Source organism: Homo sapiens, chromosome 1 (genome assembly GCF_000001405.40).
Source record: "Homo sapiens chromosome 1, GRCh38.p14 Primary Assembly".
Lineage (NCBI taxonomy): Eukaryota > Metazoa > Chordata > Mammalia > Primates > Hominidae > Homo > Homo sapiens.
The window spans coordinates 81,419,119-81,445,392 of NC_000001.11; the positions used below are offsets into that span (position 1 = coordinate 81,419,119).

Here is a 26,274-nt window from a genome sequence, read left to right on the forward strand (position 1 = left end):
AAGTGTAAAGTGGAGCATATTTGTACTTCTGGACTGTTTCTTTATTCAGCAACCTTATACAGAAAGTCTTCTTTATCTTTTTTTATTATTATTTATTTATTTAGAGACGGAGTCTTGCTCTGTCACCCAGTCTGGAGTGCAGTGGCCTGATTTCAGCTCACTACCACCACCGCCTTCTGGGTTCAAGCAATTCTCCTGCCTCAGCCTCCCTAGTAGCTGGGATTACAGGTGTCCACCACCACACCTGGCTATTTTTTGTGTTTTCTTTTAGTGGAAACAGGGTTTCACCATGTTGCCCAGGCTGGTCTCGAACTCCTGACCTCAAGTAATCTGCCTGCCTTGGCTTCCCAAAGTACTGGCATTACAGGCATGAGCCATTGCACCTGGCCATTCTTTATCTTTTTAAATGTCATAGTTGCCTAATTATAAATATTATGCAAATAACTACTTATTTGCCAAATGACAAATCCAAAATACCAAGCATCATCAAACTTTGGAAAATGCATAAATATCTCTAGGACAGTATTTTCAAATGATGCATAGAGGTAAATACGCATGCTTTTGTACTATGGACAATGCTTCAGAAAATGGATCTTTAAATCAGAAAATTCCTTGAGGAGAAGTCTGACCCTGGCTTTGAGAATCACAAATGCTGTAGTGCAGGATAGGAGACCCACATAGTGGTTTTAGTCCATCTAATCCCATCAGACTGAACACCTCTAAGTATGTTTCTCCCAGTGAAAACGTCTGGTCTAACTGCCTTCTCTGTCTTTTAGGAATATATTATTAGAAAAGAAAAACATTTTTGGCCTACTGTAATTAGTCAAAGGATTAGATATAATTATAACTAGGCAACAGTTGTTGTCCAGCAAGCTTGTAATTGTAATGAAAGTTGATAATCTTTCTTTTCCTTGCAAATCCTAATTTACAGATGTTAGAAATTTAATCAAAAAAAGGAAAATCAGAAAAAAATAGAGGCAACCTAACCTGTAATCTACTTTTCAATCCCTCATCAGTAATGCCAAAGTGAAAATAGATTATTGAACTAGGAAAGGATTTTGATAAGCAAAATTGCCTTTAAAGCATTCTATTTGATAACATTAATATCACAATTCTCATCAGCATATTGGATACTATCCTCCCTCCAAAGGACTTCAATCTCATTTGATGTCTGTCTTTTACACTTTAGTTTTCTGAAAGGCTTGTTTTTGTTTTAAGTAGTTCATCTATTCATCCATCTATCTAAATATCTTCTAAAACTAGAGCAAAAAAGCCTTTACAAATACCTTACCAGAAAGCTCCCACAATAATGAAAGCAAATAGAAATTATAAGAAAATAAGTTTATCTTTCATGTTTGAAACCAGGAACACTTCTTCCCTTTGAATTGATTTCAGCTCAGCATGATTTTTCATACGTTTTCTGAGTTTTCTCAGGATTCTTTTGATAATGAGTAAAGAGCATTGTTTTGTCCTTCAAAGTTGCAGAGTGATGTTAACACAAGGAGTTTTGTTTTGAAAATCTTTATCTGGCATAATTATACATTCTGCCCAGTACTCTATTGATGGGAAGTAAACTGTTTCTCTCCTTCAGTTGTCGTGCTTAGGGTCTAAAGGCCAGATGGGTCCAGTAGCTGAAGCTACAAAAGAAGCTCTCCTAGGTCGTCGGTGGGAAGTTCAATATTATTCCCTCCCTAATAGCAGCTGCTTCTGTTTGAACTCAGGGTTATGAAAGATGAACTACATTAAATGGTAAATCATTAAATATCAGCTGAGTAAAAGCACTGTGGTGTATTTCCCTGCTTAAATCACCAGCATCTGTCTTCTCACATGCAAAGAGTTGCTCTTAACCATCATGCAGTGAAACCCTGACAGAAGGGCCAAGACTGAAACCACACAAAAAACCTCAAATAGCATCTTTTGGGTTTTCAGTTGGCAAGTAAATGATCATCAGCAAATATTCCACAGTGGAACTAAAGCTCAACATTGCATTTAACAGAGCCATAAAATATTTAGGAATGCACAATCCCTTTAGAGCCTCATTTTTTTCTCCTATTACGTGTTTATTTAGAAGAAGAAGAAAAACAACTGTTTAAATTATGTCCACCTAATACCTTAGGTTTATTGCAAAGCCTACAATTTGCTGGGTTTGTTTTACTATTGATCCTCATCTTACTTATGGAGGATGTGAACATCATAACTAGAGATAAAGCTCATACTGATTCAAAACTAAAATTGTACAATAATGGATGCCTAAGGTAGTGTTTCAAGACTGCTACAAAAATTAGACCCTTTCATCGACTTGCATTAGGCAGCAGAATAATCTCAAGTGGCAATGATAGCTATAAAATCCCTCTCCCTACATGGCTTAGATTTATAGTAGAATACTCATAACTGCAAGCAGTTACCATGAGACAATGGTCTTTCTTTACCTTTATACTGCATGTGCTTTCAAGGTGCTTTGCTCCTCTGTGGATCTGTCTTGCCCACGTGAGTATTTGAGCTATCATGACAGTGTCATATTAGATGCCACTATCATGGCAAGATACTGAAGGTAACCACACAACATCTCAACTAAATATTCTTTTTTTTTTTGCCTCCCCAGAATATATAGCCTTGTGATAAAAAAGCAAATGGAAATCTAGAATTCACTTTTAGGTTTCCAATTAGTTGCCTCTTTTTGGCATACAACAGACTGCATTCAAAATTTGGGAAGAAAACAGGGTTTAATTGCATAGATTATGTTCTACCAATCATTTTTATGGCATGCTTATTTTGAAAATGTATCCTGTCATGTCATTCCCACACTCATCTCAGCTGGGAACATACTACCTCTATATACCATTGAAAGAGGATATATAAAATTTTCTTAATAGTATTACTTACAGACTTATTTTATTCAACACTTGAATTTTCTTTTAATTTATATTAAATGAAATCATAAAATTGTTTTACATTAATCATCAAACAAATGAAAATTTCAGGAAAAACTGGTTTACTAACATCCTACTTATTAGAAACATACCTGAATCCTTCCAAAAAATATCCACATATTTACATCTCTCAAACTTCTTTTTTTTTTAACATAAATTATATTATTTTAAGAGGTATAAAGATGCATTTTATCATACAAACAATTTTTTTTTTGAGACGGAGTCTCGTTCTGTTGCCTAGGCTGGAGTGCAATGGTACGATCTCAGCTCACTGCAATCTCCACCTCCTGAATTCAAGCGATTCTCCTGCCTTAGCCTCCCAAGGAGCTGGGATTACAGGCACATGCCACCATGCCTGGCCAATTTTTGTATTTTCAGTGGAGACGGGGTTTCACCATGTTGGGCAGGCTGGTCTCGAACTCCTGACCTCAAGTGATCCACCCGCCTCGGCCTCCCAAAGTGCTGGGATCACAGGCGTGGGCCACCACGCCCAGCCAAATGTATTTTTTCATTGCTTTATTAATTAGTGCCTATATACAGTATAACATTACAGAAAACTATATGCACAAAGTCATACTATTGTTTAGGGAAGAAATAATTATACTCTTTTAAGAAATTATAAGAGTCTGGAAGACCATCTTATTGTTTGACTTTGGGCAAATTATCAGCTGTACCACCATTTTCTCATCAATATACTGAAAATAATAATACCTGTCTTACATATGTGTGAGAATCAAATCAAATCAAATAATACATACAAAGTACTTATCATAATGCCTGGAATATATTAAAGCTTTTAGAATAAGCAAAATGTTTGCTTTTGTCCCAAAACATACACAATGTATTTCAAATCTATGCTGTGTTGTGTTTCGTGTTTCCTACAGCCTCCACACTGTTCCCTGCCCCTTTATGCATTTACTAAAAAGGCTCCTTTTGCAGCTACTCATTCCATGTGTTTTATCCACTGGAAATCTTTCAGAGACCAACCATTGAGACCAACTTGCAAATATATTAACAGAAAACATATATAGCATGTGGTTACCTCTTTGGGGACATGACAAACAGAAAATGTCAGTGTGTCATGTTTTAGAAGAAATATAAATCTTCATGAACTGCAGGACGCAGTTTTGCTAACACGAGAAAGGAAAGATAACAATTTTGACAAAATTAAACTTAACCCTATGGGATATGGTTATCCCCATGTTACCTGCTTTTAGGATTATATAGGACTGTACTCATATTCAGGTCAAACTAAAGATAGCCAAATATCATTTAGGGGCATTAGAGGGTGAATGGAGCTGGCAGGCAGGCATGCCCAGGACACTTTCTAGAACACAGATGCAGGACCTATACCTACTATTCAATGCTGTCTTGTCATTGTATTAAAATACACACATCGCGACGGCCCAGAATGTTCACTGGTTAAGTGAGGCCCTAAAACTTGAAAGGATCTGTGTAACTGAGAGGAAGAAAAACAAGTCAGTCATGGGGACTCTATAACTCAGATTCTGAATACTGAATAATAATCTAGCATAATTATTTTACAATATTGTTCAGCCCATTTTTCGACATCGTTGTCAATCTGTTTACTCTTATTTTCTTATTTCCCTAATAATGTTATACACATATATGTACTGTATAAATAATGAAGATAGAAGCTTCAGTGTTTCATGTTAAAATGTTAACTGAGATGTAAAAAGGAACCACGTAATTAATCCTTGCACCACTAAGATGAATTTCATCACAGACAACATCATTCAACAACCCATGTCATTACTGAAGCAAAGGTTAAATTGCTCTTTTTAAAAAATATAAAGCCAAGCTTTAAAGAGATTTACAAAAAAATGAAAGAACTGACCAATCTTGCTCACTCTCATCCTGAAGAAAAAGTGTTCAATCTACCAATGTATCAGGCTTTCTATATAGTTGGTTGTTCTTATCTATAATAGTTAAGAAGCTACAAATGACAATATATTTTAGCATTATATCGCACACTTCATTTCATAAGGACACTTCAATTTCTCTTCATTTCTGGAGTAAGATTAATTTTGTCACTGAACATTCCAGGCCCAAGTTGCTTGAAAGGAGTCAGTGACACACCAACGTTTATGGAAATCCTGAGCTCCAATGTCAGAGAGCATCCCAGAAAGGATGATGCATCACTCTGCAACTGCCATCTGTTGAGTGTTTTCCCGACAGCTGTATCTGTTGACCATCACCAGTGCAGATAATCACAGGAGGCACGAAGGAAGTGCACAGCCGTCAGACACAGAGGAAAATTCCATGTTCGTCTGTAAAACAACATTGCTTTTAATTGCACCATAATGATTTTCTAACAGACACAATGGTATGTGGTGTAGTCTTAGAGCTGATTTAAAGCACACACTAAACCACAGTGCAGCTGAAAAGCCAATTGAGACTTCTTAGTGCCAGGAAGGTTTTTGTCTTGCGTGAATACTTAAGAGCATTTTGCCAGCTACTCTGTCCACAATCCACTTTTACCAAAAATAACTGCCTCTATCATTGTGGGCAGTTTTTAAAAGAAAATGAACATTTTTATTTCAAATATCAATGAGGTTAAGCCTTGGCTTTATTTTTAATCTTCATGATAGACAATCCTAAGATAAGACCACTTCATCAGGTGGGTGATGGTCCAAAGTCACACTCTCCTGACTTTTTTTAAACCACTTAATGTTTTTATTCTTACCCTCCAGTGTAAAAGTCTGCCCAGTTACCTTCCAACTTTACCTCTTTCAAAACATTTTCTGACATAGCAGTTGCAAGGGTATTGAGATGGTGGAATTGGCTTGTCAGACATTGAAAGCCTTGGTTTCTTCGTGGGAGCAATTAATAACACTAGTAGCTACTATTATTTGAAGACCCGCTATGGAGCAGTCCTCTTCTCAGTACTTTATAAGCTTCACCTTAAAAGATTCCAGTCAAAATGTCACCTTGTGTGAAAGTCTAATACTCTGTTTCTGGGAATTCAGCTGTCAGAATATGATGGATTCATCAGCAGAGGCTTTCTAAATCCCCTAGCTCCATTCCATTCTGGAGCATAAAAGAATGAGAGAGAGACATAGAGAGAATAAAAGAAAGAAATTTCAAAAGATCTATACTTTCATCCTTTTCATTTATTTTAATCATTATTATTATTATAGTCAGTATATGTTGACCCTATCACATATATACACACAACACAATCACGTACCCATGCATGTGTACACACACAGGCACTTATATACTCTAAACTCTCATTTTCTTCATTTACTACCAGTTCTCACTTATTTGTGTACCGTCTTGTAGCTAACTGTTACTACTACTCTGAAGTGTGGCAGCAAGAGCAGATATTAGAACCAATTAAAAAAAAAATCTGTGTTAAACGTGCATTAGGTACACTTGGGCTTATACTCTACTTTTCAGGGGAAAAAATATGTACCAAAATGAACCCCACATGCCTATGCCTGGCTCATGGCAAGTTTCATGGCTGACACTCCTATAACAAAAGACACAAATGTTTTTCTCCTACTAGTCTGAATTCAGAAAGCAAGGGACAAGGAAAAAAATTTACCATCCATTCTCCACCAGGCACTACAGGCAGAGATCTGGGAGAACTGACCTTGGTTAAAAAATATAAATCCTTACTTTTTTGCCGGCTTTTGTCAATTGCTTCAAGATCTCACCTGTGGGCTCTAGAGCAGGTAGGGGGGTCTGAGTCACCCCATGGTGAGTACCAGAAACTATAGGGGAGAAAAAGTAATACATGGCTGACAACCATATAACAAAAGACAGCTTAACAAAAGAAAATACAAATTTATTTATTTATTTATTTATTTAAGGCAGAAACTTGCCCTGTTGCCCAGGCTGGACTGCACAGATGCAATCATAGCTCACTACAGCCTTGAACTCCTGGGCTCAGGTTGTTCTCCCACCTCAGCCTCCCAAGTAGCTGGGACTACAGGCATGCACCACCACACCCAGCCAACAAATTTATTTGACCAAAGTTTCATGTGGTAGAAAGCCTTCAGAAATGAAGACTCAAAGACCCAAGGAAAACAGCGTATTTTTATGGACAAGTTTGATGAAGAATAGGCAGTCATGTAGAATTATGGTTGGACAATAGGGTGGTTTGACCTAATGATAAACTGGGCAGAACTTAGCAAAGGGGGTTTGCTTAGATTCTTCTTGGCCTCCAGGTATAGGGCAAGACACCTGTCATATGAGGGTCTTGTGGCCTATTTACAGGGGAGGTGGGTCAGACAACTTCCCTATAACCATGTTTCAGGGGAGAAAGGGCAGAGAAAGTTAGAGAGGTCCTTCTTGCTTCTATGGTTTTCTCAATTTCCTTCAGGTTAAAATACTCAGTAGATAGTGAACTCGAGTCGGAAGAGGTGAGTCCGGTCTCAAAATGGAGGTAAAACTGATGCCCAGTGGCCCCAAGCCCAATTCCAGCTGTGACCGTCACCGCCGGGAGCAGAGGATCATGATCCAAAGGAACCAGAGTAGTTGGGAAAACTGTTTATTGGTGTTCTGAGCTTTGAAACGACAGATGATAGTTTAAGAGAACATTTGGAAAAATGGGCACACTCACAGATTGTATGGTAATGAGACACCCCCAAAGAAAACGTTCCAGGGGGTTTGGTTTTGTGACTTACTCTTGTGTTGAAGAGGTGGATGCAACAACATGTGCTCAACCACACAGGTTGGTGGGTGTCTATTGGAACCAAAGATAACTCTTTCTAGAGAGGAGTCGATAAAGCCTGATGCCCATCTACCAGTGAAGAAAAATTTCCTTGGTGGTATTAAAGAAGATACAGAAGAATATAATTTGAGACTACTTTGAAAAGTATGGCAAGACTGAAACCATGGAAGTTATGGAAGACAGACAGAGTGAAAAAAAGGAAGGATTTGCTTTTGCAACTTTTGATGATCACGATACAGTTGATAACATTGTTATTCAGAAATACCACAGTTGATAACATTGTTATTCAGAAATACCACACTATTAATGGGCATAATTGTGAAGTGAAAAGGCCCTTTCTAAACAAGAGATGCAGTCTGCTGGATCACAGAGAGATTGTGGAGGTGGATCCGGCAATTTTATGGGTTGCGGAGGAAACTTTCGAGGTGGTGGAGGTAATTTTGGCCATGGTGGCAACTTTGGTGGAAGAGGAGGCTATGCTGGTGGAGGTGGTGGCAGCGGAAATAGTTATGAAGGAGGTGATGGTGGATATAATGGACTTAGAGGCGATGGTGGCAACTATGACAGTCGTCCTGGTTATAGTAGTAGAGGGGGCTATGGTGGTGGCGGACCAGGATATGGAAACCAAGGTGGTAGATATGGTGGTGGTGGTGGAGGATATGATGGTTGCAATGGAGGAAATTTGGTGGTGGTAACTGTGGTGGTGGTGGGAACTATAATGATTTTGGAAATTATAGTGGACAACAGCAATCAAATTACGAACCCATGTAAGGGGGCAGTTTTGGTGGAAGAAGCTCATCCCTATGATGGTGGTTATGGATCTGGTGATGGACATGGTGGATATAGGAGCAGAAGGTTTTGAAAACAGCAGAAAAGGGCTGCAGCTCTTAGCAGGAGAGAGAGAGAAATTGTTAGGAAAGCTGGAGGTTACTTTGAGACAGTCATCCCAAATGCATTAAAGGAACTTTAAAAATCTGCCAGAGGGAACAATGATCCATAGTCAGAAAAGTTACTGCAGCTTAAACAGGAAACCTTCTTGTTCAGGACTGCCATAGCCATAGTTTGCAAAAAGTTCAGCTATTGATTAATGCGATGTAGTGTCAATTACATGTATACTCCTGAGGTCTTTTATCTGTGGTAGCTTTTTCTTCTTCTTTTTCTTTTCATTTCATCAGGTATATTGCCCTGTAAATTGCGGTGGTGGTAACAGGAATAAAAAATTAAGGAATTTTTAACTTTTCAATATTTGTGTAGTTCAGTTTTTCTACATTTTAGTACAGAAACTAACAAAATGCAGTTTTGAAGGTGTTTCCTTGTGAGTTAACAAGATCATTGTTAATTACTATTTTGTATGAATTTTGCTAAAGTTAACTGTAAAGAAACATTTGCTGACTTGCAATGTAAGGGGAATCTATTCTCCCCATTTCCAAACCATGACATGAATGGGTGCTGACGTGTGGACAGAATAGATATTTGTGTGTTTGCAATGTGTGTTTTAGATAAATAGGATTGGGTATTTAAATTAGCATTTGTGAATTTAATAGCATTAAGATTACCTTCAAATTAAAAAAAATATCTCAAAATTAAAAAAAAAAAGAAAACCTCAGTATGCCAAGAGGCTATATTTTAGGATATCATGTTGCAGGTGCAAAAGGAACTTTCCTTCCACTCCCTGAAGGTTCAAGAATTTGAGCCTATAAGACAAACTGACAGATTAACAGGAGAAGAGGTGTACACATTTATTAACATGCAAACGCATGGGAGTCATAGCAAGTATGAAACTCAAACAAGGGTCAGATGGTTGAAGCTTAAAGGCCCCCATTCATAAGAGAGAGGGAAGTGGGGGATGCAGGCAATTTTAGAGGAAGAGTAAAGGATTTTTAGGGGAGGTGAATGGACCTGAGGAACAGATGATGGCCTGAGGCAAAGTTTGTCTGGACTCTGGGAGAGTGGTGTCAACTCTAGTCTTTTCTGCAAGTTTTTCTGCTCTGTTTGATGAGATTATAAGGAGGTGGCCCGAGACAACTACATTTCTTCTGGAGAAACTTCGCTTGGTCAAATGAGAGAACTTCACATAAAGCACCTCTCTGTGCTTCAGGATAGGGAAAGGGGAGAGAGAGGGACAGTGGGAGAAGGTCAGAGAGACCTTGTTTCTGAGGCTGCTTCTTTATTTCAAGGTACTCAGCATATCAAAATACCATATTTTAAGGTGTTGTTTTCTGAGCCACCACGATGTTCTGAGCCCCGATGCCTAGAAGTAGTGCTTTTTCAGGAAGAAGTCTGAACCACCTATTCACATTCCCATATAGCATAAGAAATTTGAAATTCTCACTTTTGAAACCTACTATCTATATTTGTGAACTACCCATGAGGCATTTCAAAAGCAGCTTTTTTTTTTTTTACAATGACCCACTCTTGTTAGTAGTAAGATTTGTTTGTGAACTTGACTTCCTAGTTTTCCCACTTCCTGGTTAATAATTATGAGAGGTAACAGTTCATTGTGCAGTTACCTAGAGGCTACTGTTACCTTTTTTTTTAACTTAAATATCCAAGATACTTGTACTCTAAGAGCAGGTGAACATTCTCATACACGATTCATGCAGTGTAAAAGAGCCACAGGCTAAAAAGCAATGCCTAATCTCTAATTAGCTAATTTGAGCGAGGGAGGAGGAGGGTCTATATTCCTGAACAGCCTGCCTATGTTTTAAGAATATTTCGTATTCCTAAATCAAGCAGGCACGATTCAGCCCACTAGCCATTGGTTGCCTGTCCTAAGAAACATGAGTCTCCTGATATTTCAAATTGGTTGCAGTAAAGAATGCTCAAACCAAATGCCTGCTTCCTTCGGTTCTGCCCTGAAGGAATGCTGCTAGCAGCTCTTCAATCTCTTTCTTAAAACAATGGTTTCCATATACCAAACAGTGCAGGCTCTGTGGACATTTTCTCTTGTCCACAATAAAAGAAGAAAAATAAGCAGTCTGAAATGATACACATATATAAATGGAACAAATCTGTAGTGAGAGCCTTCCATATGCCAGGCAACGTTTCGGGTAATGGAGGAAAGGAGGTGAAGAAAAGATGGGAAGCCCATGACCTCATGAGCTTTATATTGTTGTTTTTTGTTTTTGTTTTTTGTTTTGTTGTTGTTGTTGTTGTTTTTGAGATGGTGTTTTGCTCTAGTTGCCCAGGCTGGAGGGCAATGGCGCGATCTTGGCTCACCGCAACCTCCGCCTCCTGGGTTCAAGCGATTCTCCTGTCTCAGCCTCCCGAGTAGCTGGGATTACAGGCATGCACCGCCACGCCTGGCTTATTTTGTATTTTCAGTAGAGACGGGGTTTTTCCATGTTGGTCAGGCTGGTTTCGAACTCCCGACCTCAGGTGATCCGCCAGCCTGGGCCTCCCAAAGTGCTGGGATTACAGGCGTGAGCCACTGCACCCAGCCATGAGCTTTATATTGTAATGGGGGAAATAGGCAAAAGCAAAGAAATGATAGATGGCAATGTAGTAGCAAGTGCTTGATGAAAAATAAAGCAAGGTTAAAGAATGGAGAGAAATGGAGGTGCAGAAGGGGAAGGTTTGTCCACATGGGGTCTGTAAAGAGGGGATTTCAACAGGGCTAGAGAAGCCCTGCCTCTTCTGGTTAGATTTGAGTGGAGAGCTCTGTCAATGCCCCAGGGGATCTGTTTCCAGTTAGAGGATGGGATTGACCTGGTGCTAAGGCAATAAGGTGAAAAGGGGCTTGGTGTGTTTCAGGAACCTGCTATTTCTGAAGGCCTTTGTGGCATGCTGGTGTAAAAGTTGCCAGGTCTTCATTTTTGAAAAGGCTGTCTTGTATTCTGAGATGATGTCTTTCCCCTCTCCCCCAGCCCCCCACTGATGTTAACATGTCCTTTCTTTTAAGAAATGATGTAAGATTTCAAGTTAGTTGTTGTTGTTGTTGTTTTTAATAGCCTAACTTGGCAATATAAAATGTTGGCAGCAGTATGCTGTTCTCTCCTTTTTTTCCCAAACTGATTCATGAAATACAAACTCTGTTAAGCTCTGGCTTAAGACGTGCAGAAAGTGCCAATCCTCCCTCTGTGTCCATGGAAAACTCCATCTTAATGCACTCCCAAGTATTTATTTGATTTGTTTACTAATTTTGGTACTTACTTATTTTCCAAGTTTGTCTTGAAAGAAAAAGAAGCACTGTGCTCCCCAAATTCACATTCTATATGTTTGGCTTATTTTATTTTACTTTAACATAAAAAAGGAGTAGTAAAATTTATCCCTGATTCTTTAATAAAACAGCATGTCAGCAGAACAGGTACAGGAAATGGGGCCCTCCAAAGTTCTTTTATAGTCTGACATCAGAATTAAACTGGGATGTTGAGAACATCTGGGGCTCTCTCTGTTCTCTGTCTCCTCCTAAGATTTCCAAGGGATATCCGTGTTTGCTTTGTGTTTGTGTTTTGGAGGTAGGGTGGGGAGTTGGGAGCTGCTTTTTATTTTTTTCTTTAAGAGAAAAGGAGAAAACCAGATATTTTCAAGGGAATTGACTACTAGTGGCCAGTATAACAAAGAAACCCCACTAAGCCTAACCACAACCTGACAGAATGAAAAGTGATTCCGGAGCTGCCACTCACCACAAATCCCCATGAACCATGCCAGGAAACAAGCTGAAAGAAGTAGAGAGGCTGCCGCTGAAGGGCCACAAACGTGGCCCCTAGAGAATCTTCTGGTCCCATTCAAATTCAAAGTGGTAGCGTGGAGGAGGGGTGGAAACTGAAGACAGAGAATTAGCAGCCCTGTGATCACTTTCAGGGTTATGATGGAACTGATTTAAAATGCAAAACCACATTCCGCTGTAAACACAGAGACAAACTGGAAGCAGAGGAAATAGAATTTTATTTGGTGATTTTCAATTTTAGGATTGAAATGGGGATGGGAAGAACTATGCTATTTATTTTTCCAGCACTCAAATTGCCTGTTCTTTTTTGTAGGATAAGTGAATGTGGACTGATAGATTACTTCTTTGGGCTTCAATGCTAATAAGGCATACTTCCCACAGAATCTGACAGAAAGGATGAATACCTTGCCCTGCTAATGGTTAATTTGTAGTGGCATGTGTATTTCTTGAATGTTCATGAAGTTTTCTAATTCATCACCACACAATTGGGCTTTTTACCTCTCTTTAAACAGAATGAAATGCCGGGAGGGAGAGAGGTTCGGGGGTGTTGTATTATCCCTCAGCCCCTGTATTTACCACCCAAAAGTTATTGCTAATTTTTGTCTACCTCAGAAACAAAATTGTTCTTCAACAAATAATTTAGTACTGACCACACTTTAAAATGTTTATTGCTGTTGAATCTGTCACAGATTGCATCAAGCCACAGAGATGCTAATCTATCTCATGTATTTGAAATTCCTCTGGGAAACATATATTTGGGCTTACTGCTGAGTGAACATGACTGTTAGGATTATGGAGACCATACGCAGTGAAGAAAGGCAGCATCGCTTTTCTGACTGGAAAGTAAACAATAGGGCGATTGTCAGCTTACACATAGGGCCAACAGCCCTACTGCTGAAGAGTTGGATGTAAAATCCTTGATCAGCAAGCTGTCTTGATGTTTTCTTCTTGGAGTTGGATGTTGTCAAGGATTCAGATGAGCCACCCCAGTGCGTATGCAGGAAACAAAACAGGATATTCTTGTTTAAGGACTGTTTTCTGTAATTATGTTGATTTTTTTATGCAACACTTGAACTTTTAAAAACTCAAGGATGCATAAGAAGTACTCCAGAGGAGAATAAATGATTGGGATTTTGTCATAAGTGAAATGTTATTATGAGTTCTTAACAAAATTAACTTGTTTTTGTTTGTGATTGGGTCTATGAATTAAGTATACTGAGACCATGCCTGTTTCATCTTCCTGCCCCCCTCCTCGGCGCCGCTCCCCTCCCCAGCCCATTTTCAGACAGGAGGTCAAGCTGTCGTTGGAACATCATATTTCCTGCTTGGAAAAGGCACTGGATTGTATAATCATCTGACAGGAAAGTTTCAAGAGTACCAGGAGCTTCCCTTGGAAGGCTTGGGGCGGCATGGGGAATGTGCAGCATCTATAAACGTCTTTCCTTTGTACAATCATGGGCCGTTCTATGGTTGTGTATACAGAGTTTCAATGTGGAAAGAGCTAAACTGAACTGTAAATACCCTGAGGAAAAAGTGTCTGTGGAAATATGTACCTTGGGCTTGCCTGGTACCCTGTAGTTATGTGTCCTTCCTTGCTAAGGAAGGAACATCTGGCTGAACAACTTACTGTTTAATGCTATCAGGCTACAGACATCCGGTCACTCCTTTCCCATCCCAATATAAATTATCTGCCTTAGACAAGGGATGTAACATATTTGTATGCCAAGAAATTTGATTTTGTTACAATTATTTGCTCTTAATTTAAGAGAATTACTTTGTACTCTTTTTCTTTTATTTAATCAAAATGTCATGTGATTTCCTATTTTACTTGAATAATTCTCATAATTTTACAACACAATGAAAGGATTATAGATTAGTGCAGGTCAATCTCCTCCATGTCCTCCTTATTTTTCTTAAGATTCCAATCCACAAAAGGTCATAGACAACATAATACTTCAGGTCCAAGGACACCTCAAGGTCCCTTTGAGAAAGCGATTATATTCCAAGAGAAGTGTGCCCTGAGTTTTAACCACTGTGATTCAATGAAGAACATAAAATGTGAACTAGTCAGCAACTGCCAAGTTTAGTCAGGAGCACCCTGTGAAAGCTGATCTTACTCTAGGGTTAGGCTGTTTTGGGGAGAGTTTAAAATGGTGCTTGCAGGACAGCCTGTCTGGGTTGAATTCAGATTCTACCCTTCGGCAAGGAAATTATTTAACCCTTCTTTCCCTTGGTTTTCTCATTTGTAAAAGGAAAATTATAATTGTTCCAATTATTCTTTGCTGCATAATAAAGCACCCTGAAATTTAATGGCTTGAAAGAAGTATGTCTTATTATCTCTCACTTTTCCGTGGATTGACTGGACTCTGTTGGGTTGTCCTCACTCAGGGTTCATAATTCCGGAGCAGTCAGATAGCAGCAGGAACTGAAGTCATGTAAAGGCTTCAGGGGACTGGCCCCACAATATGATTCATTCACATGCTGGTTGTAGGCTAGAAGCTGTGTTGGGACTCTGTTGACACCTGGCCTCTCCATGTTGCCTGAGCTTTCCCACAGCATGGAAGCCTTAGTCTGACTTTTTAGTGGAAGCTCAGGGTTCCAAAAGAACAAGGCAATGTTGCCAGTTCATTTAAAGGCTAAGCCAGGACCTAGTATGCTATCTCTTCTGCCCCACTCTATGCATCAAGCAAGTCAATAAGTCCAGCTCAGATTCAAAGGGAGAGGAATTAGACTCCACATCTCAATCTCAATTAGAGGAGTAGTAAATAATTTGATACCATCCCTGATCTACCACAAATACAGTATTAACCACATAGAGTTTTGTGAGAATTAAGCAAATTAATCTTTGTAATGTACTCAGACCAATGTGTCACACATGTAATGTATTTTCAATGAAAGTTACTTATTATTTTCTGGGTACTTATTCTATTTTATGTTTCTTCACTGCATTTATCACCATCCAACTTTGCTTGTTTTTTATATTTGTCTCTCGGTATGTGTTTATTGTCTCTCTCTCCTACCCAAATGTAAACTTCATTACCATAGGAACTGCTCTTCTAGGGCCTAGAAGAGTGTCTGGTGCTTGATGAGGGTACCATAAATATGTGTTGAATTAATGAGTGAACTAGTGAATAAGTGAATGAACCCAGTGAATACAAAACTGTAGGAAATAAACATCTTGGATGTTTGGTTGTAGAAATTGGGAGTGAGGGAGGATTACAAACAGGGAGGTTGACATTATGATTTATTTAAATATATTAAAAATTAGAATGAGTATCATCTCTCATATGAAGCAGTTTTAACTGCAGCTGTCTGGGGAAGCACAAAATATATTACCAGGCCTACCTTGCAACCAAAATTGGGAAGCTGCAGGTGGTCATTCACAGGCCTTCAAATCTGACAAGACTGGGCTTAAGTCACTGCTCCGCTGTTTGCTTGCTGTGTGACATGAAAAGTTTTTTAACTTCTCTGAGTTGTAAAATCTGTGAAATCAGGCAACAAGGCACACTGCAAGGGACTCCTGTGAGAATTAAATACAGCTGACAAAGGGTTTCAACAAAAGTACTGGACACAATTAATAAAAATGTACCAGTCCCTGAAAGTATTAATAATAGGTAAACTTTATTGACATGAATTTTATTTTACTTATACTCTATATTAAGTTAGACAGCTTTACAGTTTCTGTTTTTCAAAAACTCCACTTATGTTTCCAAACACATTAAAAAATATTAAAATAAAATTACATTTACTTTTTAATAACTCAACATTCAATCTGTGAGTATAATGACCCATAAACTGACCTTTCTGCTTCACCAGCAACTGACAAAAGAACTGGAACTGAATATTCACTAAGTTTTAACAACCATGTTAAAAATAAATGTTTACATTTATCAAGAGAAACTGTGACATCAGAGGAAATAAACATCATGTCCAAAGAACAACTTCCCAGAATTCAAGGGGAATTCCCCCACCTCCAATCTCTCTGTGAGGATGTCCAAATGTAAATTACTTAATCAACCAGATGCTGATTGTCGAGAGTTCAATGAATTCAAAACACTTGGAACTTTGAGAAATTTTAAAAGGGAAACCACTTTTTGTTCTTTAGAGTGCTTAGTATTTTTAAATAAACTTATAGGCCAAGATGAACTAATAAATATAACAATCCATTTCTTCAAAACATCGGGACTATATATATTTAATTCAAGATGGTTAATTTGTAGGTAGACACACATATTTATATAAATTCATAGTGGATACATTGAACAGAAATTTTGTCTGTTTCCTTGCTTTGCAAAAACTGTTGAATAATATTTCTTACACTGAAACATTTCTCTGGAACCTGGGAAAGATGGAAGCTAGAAAAAAGAATGATGAATAAAAAATCATACATCTTCAGACAGGGTGCGGTGGCTCATGCCTGTAATCCCAGCACTTTGGGAGTCTGAGGCAGGTGGATCACCTGAGGTCGGGAGTTTGAGACCAGCCTGACCAACATGGAGAAACCCCATCTCTACTAAAAATACAAAATTAGCCGGGCGTGGTGGTGGATGCTGTAATCCCAGCTACTCGGGAGGCTGAGGCAGGAGAATCACTTGAATCTGGGAGGCAGATGTTGCGGTGAGCCGAGATCACGCCATTGCACTTTAACCTGGGCAATAAGAGCGAAACTCCATCTCAAAAAAATAAAAAAGAATCATACATCTTCAAAAGGAAAGTATTCAGCACTGAAGTTGCATATTGCTGTCAGGTAGACAGTATAACATATATTCAATTCTCCAATCAGCAAAACACCAAAGAAGCACAGGGCAGACACGGCTCGGTCCTCCAAAGTGAAGGAGAACGTACTTGCCGACGACATCACGGTAGAGCATGGTAAAATTTGTTCTAGAGGGGACTTACAAATATAGGACTCACTGACGGGTTTGATACCAGATAGGTGGCAACACTCAAATAACATCTATCTAACATACCTGACAAAAGGTGGTTAGTAAATATTAGTTTTCTTTCCTTCTTTCATTTGAACTATTTTTTTTCCTCGCTTTTTTGTCCATGACCATAATGTCTGGGCTCTGTGACTAAGCGTATAGCCATGAGTGCTGGGATCACTTTATGGCTCTTTGTTCCCAAGTAAACAAGCCTAGTCTGGTTATGTATTAATCAATAGAAGGTGATAGCCTGCATAAAGAACCAATATGGGGAAAGCAGAGGCCCAGATGAAATCAATATAAAATAAATTTATCTGAGCCTTTCCATCCTTCCACTTCTAGTTCCTTTATGATCCATGATCCATTTTAGGAAGATCAGTATGCCAGGGACTGGTCTGCTCAGTGAACCTCACTTATGTGAAAAGGAGAAACTCTTGTTGTCACCTATCAGGACCTGATTGGATCCAATTATATAGGGCTTCATCTCTTAATCAGATACCGTATTGGCATTCATGCCATAGCTATTTTTCCTATACAGAAGTGCTGACAAAAGTGATTTGGAGTTTTCCTTTCTTCTTTCCACACCTTACCCCTTTCAGAGAATGTCTATAATTCCACTCCTTACGATAGTAAATCCAGATGGCAAGAATTCTCAACAAAATGTGTTCATAAACATTTACCTTTTTCTTTCATATTTGTAGTAATGATAACTAATCCCTACAGTCTGGATTATAATTTGTTCAATTTATCCAACCAAGGCAAAAGTCTTTTAGGGGAATTTCACTATCCAGTCTATTATTTAACCTCATGAACAAAATCGCTGTTGCTGCCTCACTTAAAAAGATTCATCATGAAGGTTAAGAACAGATGAGACGGGTGTCTGCAGTCTCCTGGAATCACAAATGTACAAACAAGAGAACTAATTTTTCTCTACTGTTTTTACAAAAAAAAGGAAAGCTTTTTTTTACACTAGGCAAACAGCAACTGGTTTAGTCTCATAAATTTACATGTCCTAAGTAGTGTCAGTCTTCAGGCAGATTAGATTAACAGGCCTTGTGTTATCATCCCAGGAAAAAAAAGAAAAACAGATCCAAAGTCATCTGGTTAATTGGAGGAGGTGGGGAGATGAAGTTGCTTCCATTAAGTTCTTTTGGAGCAGTTGCAAGATCCACAAAATCTGTTTTTAGCTCAGTCATTCATCCTGTTGGATGTGTGATGTGTTTTCAATTTAATGATAATTGCCCTTCCCATTTCTTTGATAATTGCCCTCTCTATTATCATTTATGGAGATTCAAATTATAAATCAAGACAAGACAGCCAGAAAAATATTATGATTGTCCCTTCTGAGGCCACAGTAAAACTCAAGTAACACTGCCAAAGTCTGAGAGCTTAAGCTGTTTTCATTTGCATGTTTCTGAACATTCTATTTTAGGGTCCAGTGGTTTTCCTAAAGAGGAGGTTGCATGACAATAATAGAACTGAATGATAATGTGTACAGAGAATATAAATTTAGCTTTGATTCGAGTTATAAACTTGTATTTGAAATCAGAAACTTGCAGTCGTGACTGTCTGAAAGCAAAGGTGAGGAGTCAGCCACAAATGCCTACTATTAGTCACCTATGTCCCCACAGAGGCCATTGCATAGCGTTGCCTCCCAGGAGTTACCCTCTCTCTTTATTTTCAGCCTGTTTGGGGAAAAAAAAAAAAAAGCTGTATCCATTCCTTCTCACCGAATATGCCCCGTGATCAACACATTGAAATGTGTAGAAAGACATGAGTGAGCTTTGATGTAAGATTCCTGGAACCATCTCCCAAAACAAAACAGTATAATAAAAATGTACCCACCAAAAATGGCTCTTTGAGATGGTAACAATGGAGTTCTGGCTCCAGCTTATACCTGCTCAGGAGATCCCATTATTAACTTTTCAGGAATTTGGCAAGCTGTTTGTTCCCCCAGAGAACCATTATTAATAAATAAATTGCATAAATTTAGAATTAAATAATTAAACTTAAAACAAAGGTAATAAATACACACATTCATCACTTCCTAATTATTCTAGCACATTGTATTATTTTCCGTGTTGCTGAGGGTGTTTTTATCTATTATATCAACATGTTTGAAATACCACATAATGGTACAATATAGACTATCTCTTCCCGAGTCTGCATTCTGTGACTTCATATTAGCACCCAATATGGTGAATATCAGTAAATAATACTAAATATAGTATTTAAACCACCATATCAGAAAATGCTACAAGTCAGTGCTTTTTTTCCCAGAGAGCTGATCGGTAAACATTTTGCAGCCCAGCCCTGGACGGTAACATGGTTTTGTGAAGAAAGGAGTTTGCAGCAGGGATGACCTGGGTTTCCTTTTGGCTCAATTAGTAGCTGTATGAACTTGGGCAGTTTAAACTCTCTGAGGCTTAATTTGTCATTTTCCTGCTTAATACACTTCAATATATTTCTATTACTCAGGATGAAGTCCAAAATCCTTAGGGTGTTTTTTCCCTTATCATTGCCCCAGATTTCTTTAAACTCCTTGAATCCCCCAAGTTCCAGCTGCCTAAGGGCCCTCAAATCTGGAGTGCTCTTCTTTTTCCTCTTTGTCCTGCTAACTTCTACCCATTATTTAGGTCTCTGTTTAAATGTCACTTTCTCAAGGTAGACTTTGCGATAGAAACTCCCTTTACCTGCCGTAAAACTCCCAGAGAACCTTTTGTACTTGTCAAAGTGTAAAAAAATTATATTGCACATAGTTGTTTGCTTAATATCAAAACCCCCTCTTTCATCCATGTTTCTCATGTGTTGTTATCACTGCCAAATTTAACTCTGTGCCCATGGACAACCGCTTTGCAAGCCTAACCACTAACTTTCATCTGTAGGGTTTCTATCTTATTAAGAGCAAACTCTCATTTTCAAAGTCACTCATTCTACCCAAGAGGTATTACAGCATGGTTGGTAAGTATGCGAACTCTGAGGCAGAGCACTGTAGGTTTGAATCCTGACTCCACCACTTCTGAGCTGTGTGACCTTAGCAACCTTTCTGTCTCTCTTATTCCTAATTTAGGAAGTAGAGTTAATAACGAAACCTACTGATGCAGGATTTTCTCAGCCCCTTCACTGGACTCGCGGCAGGGTTACTCCCTCTATTAGGCATGCCAGGGTCAATCCCTTGCAGGAGGGAGCACGTGAGCAAGTGAGTGCAGGATCTGTCTGGCCACTCTGGGTGTCGACACAGATGCAAACTCTGTGCGGGGCCCATGGCCAGGCCAGGTGTGTCGCCTTGAGGGGAATGCAGCAGCACCCATGTGAGGGTGCCCACAACTCCGAAGCCCCAGAGGAGGTTTTACAGTGCTCCTTTAGTTGTGCCATTCACAGACGGTGGTGTGTTAGCAGCTCAGTTGGTCCCTTGCCCCATTGTGTGAGGTGGCTGCCCTCCGCCACTGATGGCAAAGGGCTGGTGTGACAGCCTTTCTTGCTACCTGCACTCAGTGGGTCCCGAGCTATTGTCCAGTGTCCAAGAAGAATGAGGTCACATAAACAGTTGAAGGATGGGGAAGGCAGAGAATTTTGTTGAGAAATGAAAATGGCTCTAAAAGGCTGTCTGTTCCCCAAAGTCAGGCTGTCTCCTCCTCTACCAACTGAGTCTGTGGTCTTTAAAGGCACAGGGTGGGGAGTGCATGCTGATTGGGTTTGCCAGTATGCAAAAAAGGCTAAAGCAAAGACACCACTCAAAGGTGCGTACGACAATGTAGAAAACCAATTAGGAAAGGGTAGGTATATGTAAAATAGGTGAAGGGTGAGGATCAATCAGAGGAAAGCACACCAAACAGGAAGACAAGTTCTTAACACAGTCTGATGATTTAACTTGTAGCTTGGCTTTCAGGCTTTAAACTGTCTTCAGCTTGAAGGTGGGGTTTCACCGGGTACCCACCCCTAGCTGCCTAAGCATTTGGCTGCTTCCTGTAGCTATCACTACTTCACGTTGTGAAAATTACATAAATTAGCCGCTGTGAAGTGCTCTGTGAAGGATGATTGTGTAGGAATCAGTACTTAAAGGTTGGACATTATTCCTACTCACCTTAACTCTGGTTGCGCTTTCTCCTAATTATGCCATTTCTCAGAATTCCCACCCATATGGAGACTCTCAGGCTTCCTTACCTTTGGTAAATTTAGACAATCCCGCAGATTTTAACTACCCCATCCATTGGAAGGATGCCAAAATTTCTAGTTCTAGTTTCTCCACTAATTTATAATCCTACAGTTCCAGCTACTTACTGCCATCTCCAAGAGACTTCTTGACACATCAAACACAATGCACCACACCTAAATTCATTACCCCATCAAACTAGTTCTTTCTTTTGACATCCGTATTTCTGTTAATAGCAACCCAATTTCTTCTGTGAGGCTCCAAGTTTCTAATTTATCTATGTCTCTTCCTTTTCCCTTACTGCACGTCTCAGCAATTGCCAATTCCTATTGATTGTCTCTGAAATACCTCTTGCATCTTTTTCTTCCTTCTAATTCCCACTGCTACTGCCTAGCCTAGGTTCTCATTAATCTCTTTCTTGTCTGGACTGTAACAACAGCCTACTATCTTCCTCACAGCTTTAGACTAAGCTTAAACATAACAAGAAGCATTCTTCTAGAGTTAGACATTCATAACACATGTTTCTCTCTCTCCCTCTCTCAATCCCTGTTTTGTGTGATGTTTTATTTGTGTCTTCCCTCCATGACATCAGAGACTTTTACCCACTAGTTCACCTCTGTAGCCTCAGCACCTAATAGTACTACTTAGTACTAGTTACTAGTAAATTTAGTACTATTATTAAATATTAGTATAGTATGAACATGGCATATTATTAATATGGCATATTGCTACTGAAAATAGTACTGTTAAATTTTAAATATTGATAAAATTATTTGTTAGGTTAATTATTGAATAAATCCATTTTCAGCCCTTGTTTTGATCTATAGTGCATACACTTCATCTACCTAAATTGGATTTCTGGTTAATTTACTCCCTGTTCAAACATCATCAGTGTTCCTAATCAATTACCTAATGTCTAATATCCCCATCCCAGAATACAAGGCCTCAATTAAGAGTACAAACTTACTTCTATGAAACCTCTAGCCCAAACTGAATATTCAATTTTTGTTTGTTTGTTTGTTTTTGGGTTTTTTTGTTTGTTTTTGAGACGGAGTCTCACATTGTCACCCAGGCTGGAGTGCAATGTTGCAATCTTGGCTCACTGCAACCTCTGCCTCCCAGGTTCAGGTTCAAGTGATTCTCCTGCCTCAGCCCTCAGCCTCCCGAGTTGCTGGGATTACAGGCATGTGCCACCATGCCCAGCTAATTTTCTTGTATTTTTAGTAGAGACGGGGTTTCACTATGTTGGCCAGGCTGGTCTCAAACTCCTGACCTCATGATCCGCCCGCCTTGGCTTCCCAAAGTGCTGGGATTATAGGTGTAAGCCACCACTCCCAACCTAGAATATTCCATTTTTTTTGAGACAGGGTCTCACTGTGCTGCCCAGGCTGGCGTGTGGTGGTGCGATCATAGCTCACTGCAGGACCTCCTGGCCTCAAGTGATCTTCTCACCTCAGCCTCCAGTAGCTGAGACTACAGATGCACACTACCATGCCTGGTTAATTTTTACAATTTTTATAGAGGCAGAGTCTCACTATGTTCCCCAGGCTAGTCTCTGACTCCTGGGCTCAAGCAATCCTCCCTCCTCAACTTCCCAAAGTGCTGGAATTATTCAATATGGGATTCATTGAAACTTACATTATGTATCTAAGCTCTCTAGAAAATATTGAAAATTCCTTGAATGCTTCATTTTCAAATATAAAGTCCTTTTAAAAAAGAAGTCTGGCTGTCAGTTGGAAAGCTATTACCACAACTTCAAAAATCAACCATTACTCAATTACCTTTGTTTCCTTAAAACGGACACAGTTAGATAGCCAATGTTAATTCTTCCTACAAAGATGAGCTTTTTTATTACAAATGAAAATATCCCTCTTTCACCAAATTACACAATAAAATGTTCACCATTTACTTGAAACATTAAAATTACATCTATTACCTAATCATGAAATAAAGAAATTGGCAAGAAAACAACTGAAGGGCTACTTTATTTTTTGAGCATTTTCAACCATAGCCTAAGATTTTATCCCTATCTGTAAATGTACTTAATTAACCAAGAGCGGTGTGAAGACTAAATAAGTCTATGTAGGAAATTTTCCTTTGTTACCTGTCATAGAACCTTTACAGTTATGTTGGACCCTCACAGTAAAACATGGTACTCGGGAGCAAAATTCAGTATCAGTCAGATTTGCTTTGGACTGCATCCAAGGACTGTCATTTTGATGCTGATTTGCCAAGAACAAGGACCTATCCATGAGCCCTCAGGAGAGTAGCACAGGAAGGTCCCATTGTAGAAGAAAATAGGTCCATTTCCCATCTACCATTTTAAGGCCAGGTTTCACAGCCTCACTCACAAATCTGCTGGATAGCAAAGGCTATCCCTTGCATTCACAAGGTAGTTTTTCACCCTGTTTCAATTCATGTCAAACTTACAGTACGCTGACAAACTAAAAATTATTGGTCTCCAAAAACCTACTCTGTTGCTCTCACAATAGTAATTTAAACATGTAACCAAGTGTAAGAAATGCATATTCTTTACAAAATCTTTAAATTCAAGAAACAACTAATAACTAATCTATACTCTAAAATGTATAAATGATTAGCCCATCTGGGAATTCTGCTGTTTAAAAGTTTACTGGATGGTGGTCAGGCATGGTGGCTCACATCTGTAATCCCAGCACTTTGGGAGGCCAATGTGGGTGGATCACCTGAAGTCAAGAGTTCGAGATCAGCCTGGCCAACATGATGAAACCCCATCTCTACTAAAAATACAAAAAATTAGCAAGTCATGATGGCAGGCACCTATAATCCCAGCTAATTAGGAGGCTGAGGCAGGAGAATCACTTGAACCCAGGAGGCAGAGGTTGCAACCCAGGAGGCAGAGGTGAGCCAAGATCACACCATTACAATCCAGCCTGAGTGACAAGAGTGAAACTCCATCTCAAAAAAAAAAAAAAAGTTCACTGAGTGATATTTCTCATAGGTAGTCATATCTTGATTAACCTTATTCCTATTTTAAGTCAGAGACAGTGTCTGATTTTCTATTGCTGGTTTGAGACCCACTTGATAGAAATCCAGCCACCTACACACTACTTAGTTAGGAATACATTTTAAGCATTCAGAACCTATATACAATATTTTGAATTTTGGAAAGTAAAATGAGCAGGAGCGTAGTAATTAGTCAACATGCCACAAGTTGGCTTCACCATCTCACTGCTTTGAGAAATTGTAACTGCTGCATCTCACCATTCCTACCTTAAGTTAGTATTTTATTGCTTGCAAAATATTTTTTATTAGAATAGAAATGCTCAAAGCAGATAGAAAGATACTCCTTGTTAGGCAAATATTGCTTGACTAGTAATAATCAATAAATAATGAATATTTATACCACAAAAATAAATGAGATAAATTAATATACTTATTTTGTTAGAAGAAAAAATGAGTATTTATCTGCTACAAAGGTGGGATGATCTGAAGTACTCTTATCAGACATCTATCCGATGCCCCGGTAAGTAGTGTCAGAGGACAAGAAAAGGTCCGGAGACCCACTTGTAGCCAGAGTTTGCAGAAGCTGAGAGAAGTAGGCAATAGCTGCTGCAGGAAAGATTCTATTGCCAATGTATAATAATCCCTTTTTACCAATGGCAGGCATTTACTTTGCCTTAGGAAATATGTAACATTTACCTTTGAACCTTTTAATCACTGGCAACTGATACTAATGCAAGACAGGTAAACCTTTCCTTATACTTTGGGAAAGAGCAATTGACTACTGAAAAAGAGTCAGTGGTTCACAAAGACCAGTAAAGCAAACAAAAAGTATATTTAATATATGGCCACTTCAGATCTAAGGGATATAATCACCTAACAGGAGAGTAAATCCCCTGAGCCATTTTATGTTTTTACATGTAAAATGTTTCTTCAGTTTGAGTTGATATTAACTCTATAAACTACTCATATTTTGGTATATTCATTTATTCTGCCTGTAAAGACTCGCTTTCTGATTTGCCCTCACATCTGTGCTTGCTGGAGGAACAGATGCTCAGTTCCTAACGGTCAAAGTTTGGCCTTTTCCCTCCTATCACTAAACCAGAAAGAAACAGGGTTCCGAAGAATGGTGGCAGCTTTCCAATGGTTGGCCTGCACGTTTACATTTAAAGTAAGCAGGTGGCATCAATGGGCTGTCTAATGACTAACAAGATAAGAGTGCAATTGATCTTTTTATTAACCCATCTCCCCAGGTGGGTGGCAGCCTGCTCCTCCCCTCTGGGTTCAGTCACGTTGTTCAGTTCCAGGAATCGTTTTAGATCTTTTTGCTTTTTTGTCTGAGCTGATACTTAAAACACAGGGACACAAGCACTAATATCCATCTCATCTAAATTCTATTCTCTCTGTATCTCCAAATTGGTAAATGCCTTCATCATTTGAATCTAATAAAAAAATTAATGCACATGCTAATGCATTTTCAATTTCATTGATAATCTTTTCATGCTGAATTTGAACTGTGGATTTGTTTGTCTCCCTTCTAGGTTACAGACCACTTACTCTAAACTTCACAAATGGTTCTGAAGAGTATGGAGCCTACGTAGATTCATAAGGTAAATGATTAATTTCAAAATAAGATACAATAGCTTCAATTATGATATGAATTCAAGCACTGCCTAAATGTATTTGCTTTATCTATTGGTGGTTTTCTAAGTTCTGATATTGGATGATCTTTTATTAAATGTAGAAGATAAAATCATGATCCTGGGTGGAGATGAGGGAAGAAGAAACTACATGTATGGGTTACCTCTCTCCATGAGTCAGGTTATTCGTTGTATGTTGCTTAAGACTGGCTGTCTACCTATCTAGATTTCTTACAAAATTATGCTTGTGATCTTAGGCATTTTTCTGCCTTG

At 38.9% G+C, this 26,274-nt stretch overlaps 1 protein-coding gene and 1 pseudogene across 8 annotated transcripts in view, besides 1 other annotated feature; both read left to right on the forward strand.

Annotated features, from left to right (window-relative positions):
* Nucleotides 1-26,274, forward strand: part of ADGRL2 (adhesion G protein-coupled receptor L2) — a 687,801-nt gene that overhangs the window by 112,987 nt on the left and 548,540 nt on the right. For all 8 annotated transcript variants that reach the window (XM_047416152.1, XM_047416118.1, XM_047416159.1 and 5 more), the window contains one exon: nt 25,903-25,971. The gene's annotated coding sequence lies outside the window, so the exon portion shown is untranslated. The remainder of the gene's footprint in view (nt 1-25,902; nt 25,972-26,274) is intronic.
* On the forward strand, nt 7,299-8,490 carry HNRNPA3P14 (heterogeneous nuclear ribonucleoprotein A3 pseudogene 14; annotated as a pseudogene).
* Nucleotides 20,444-20,513: an enhancer, noted in NCBI's record as "active region_1240". NCBI's record gives its function as "activates an Ori minimal core promoter by ATAC-STARR-seq in GM12878 lymphoblastoid cells {active_cell/tissue: GM12878}" and the evidence as "EXISTENCE:reporter gene assay evidence [ECO:0000049][PMID:35858748]".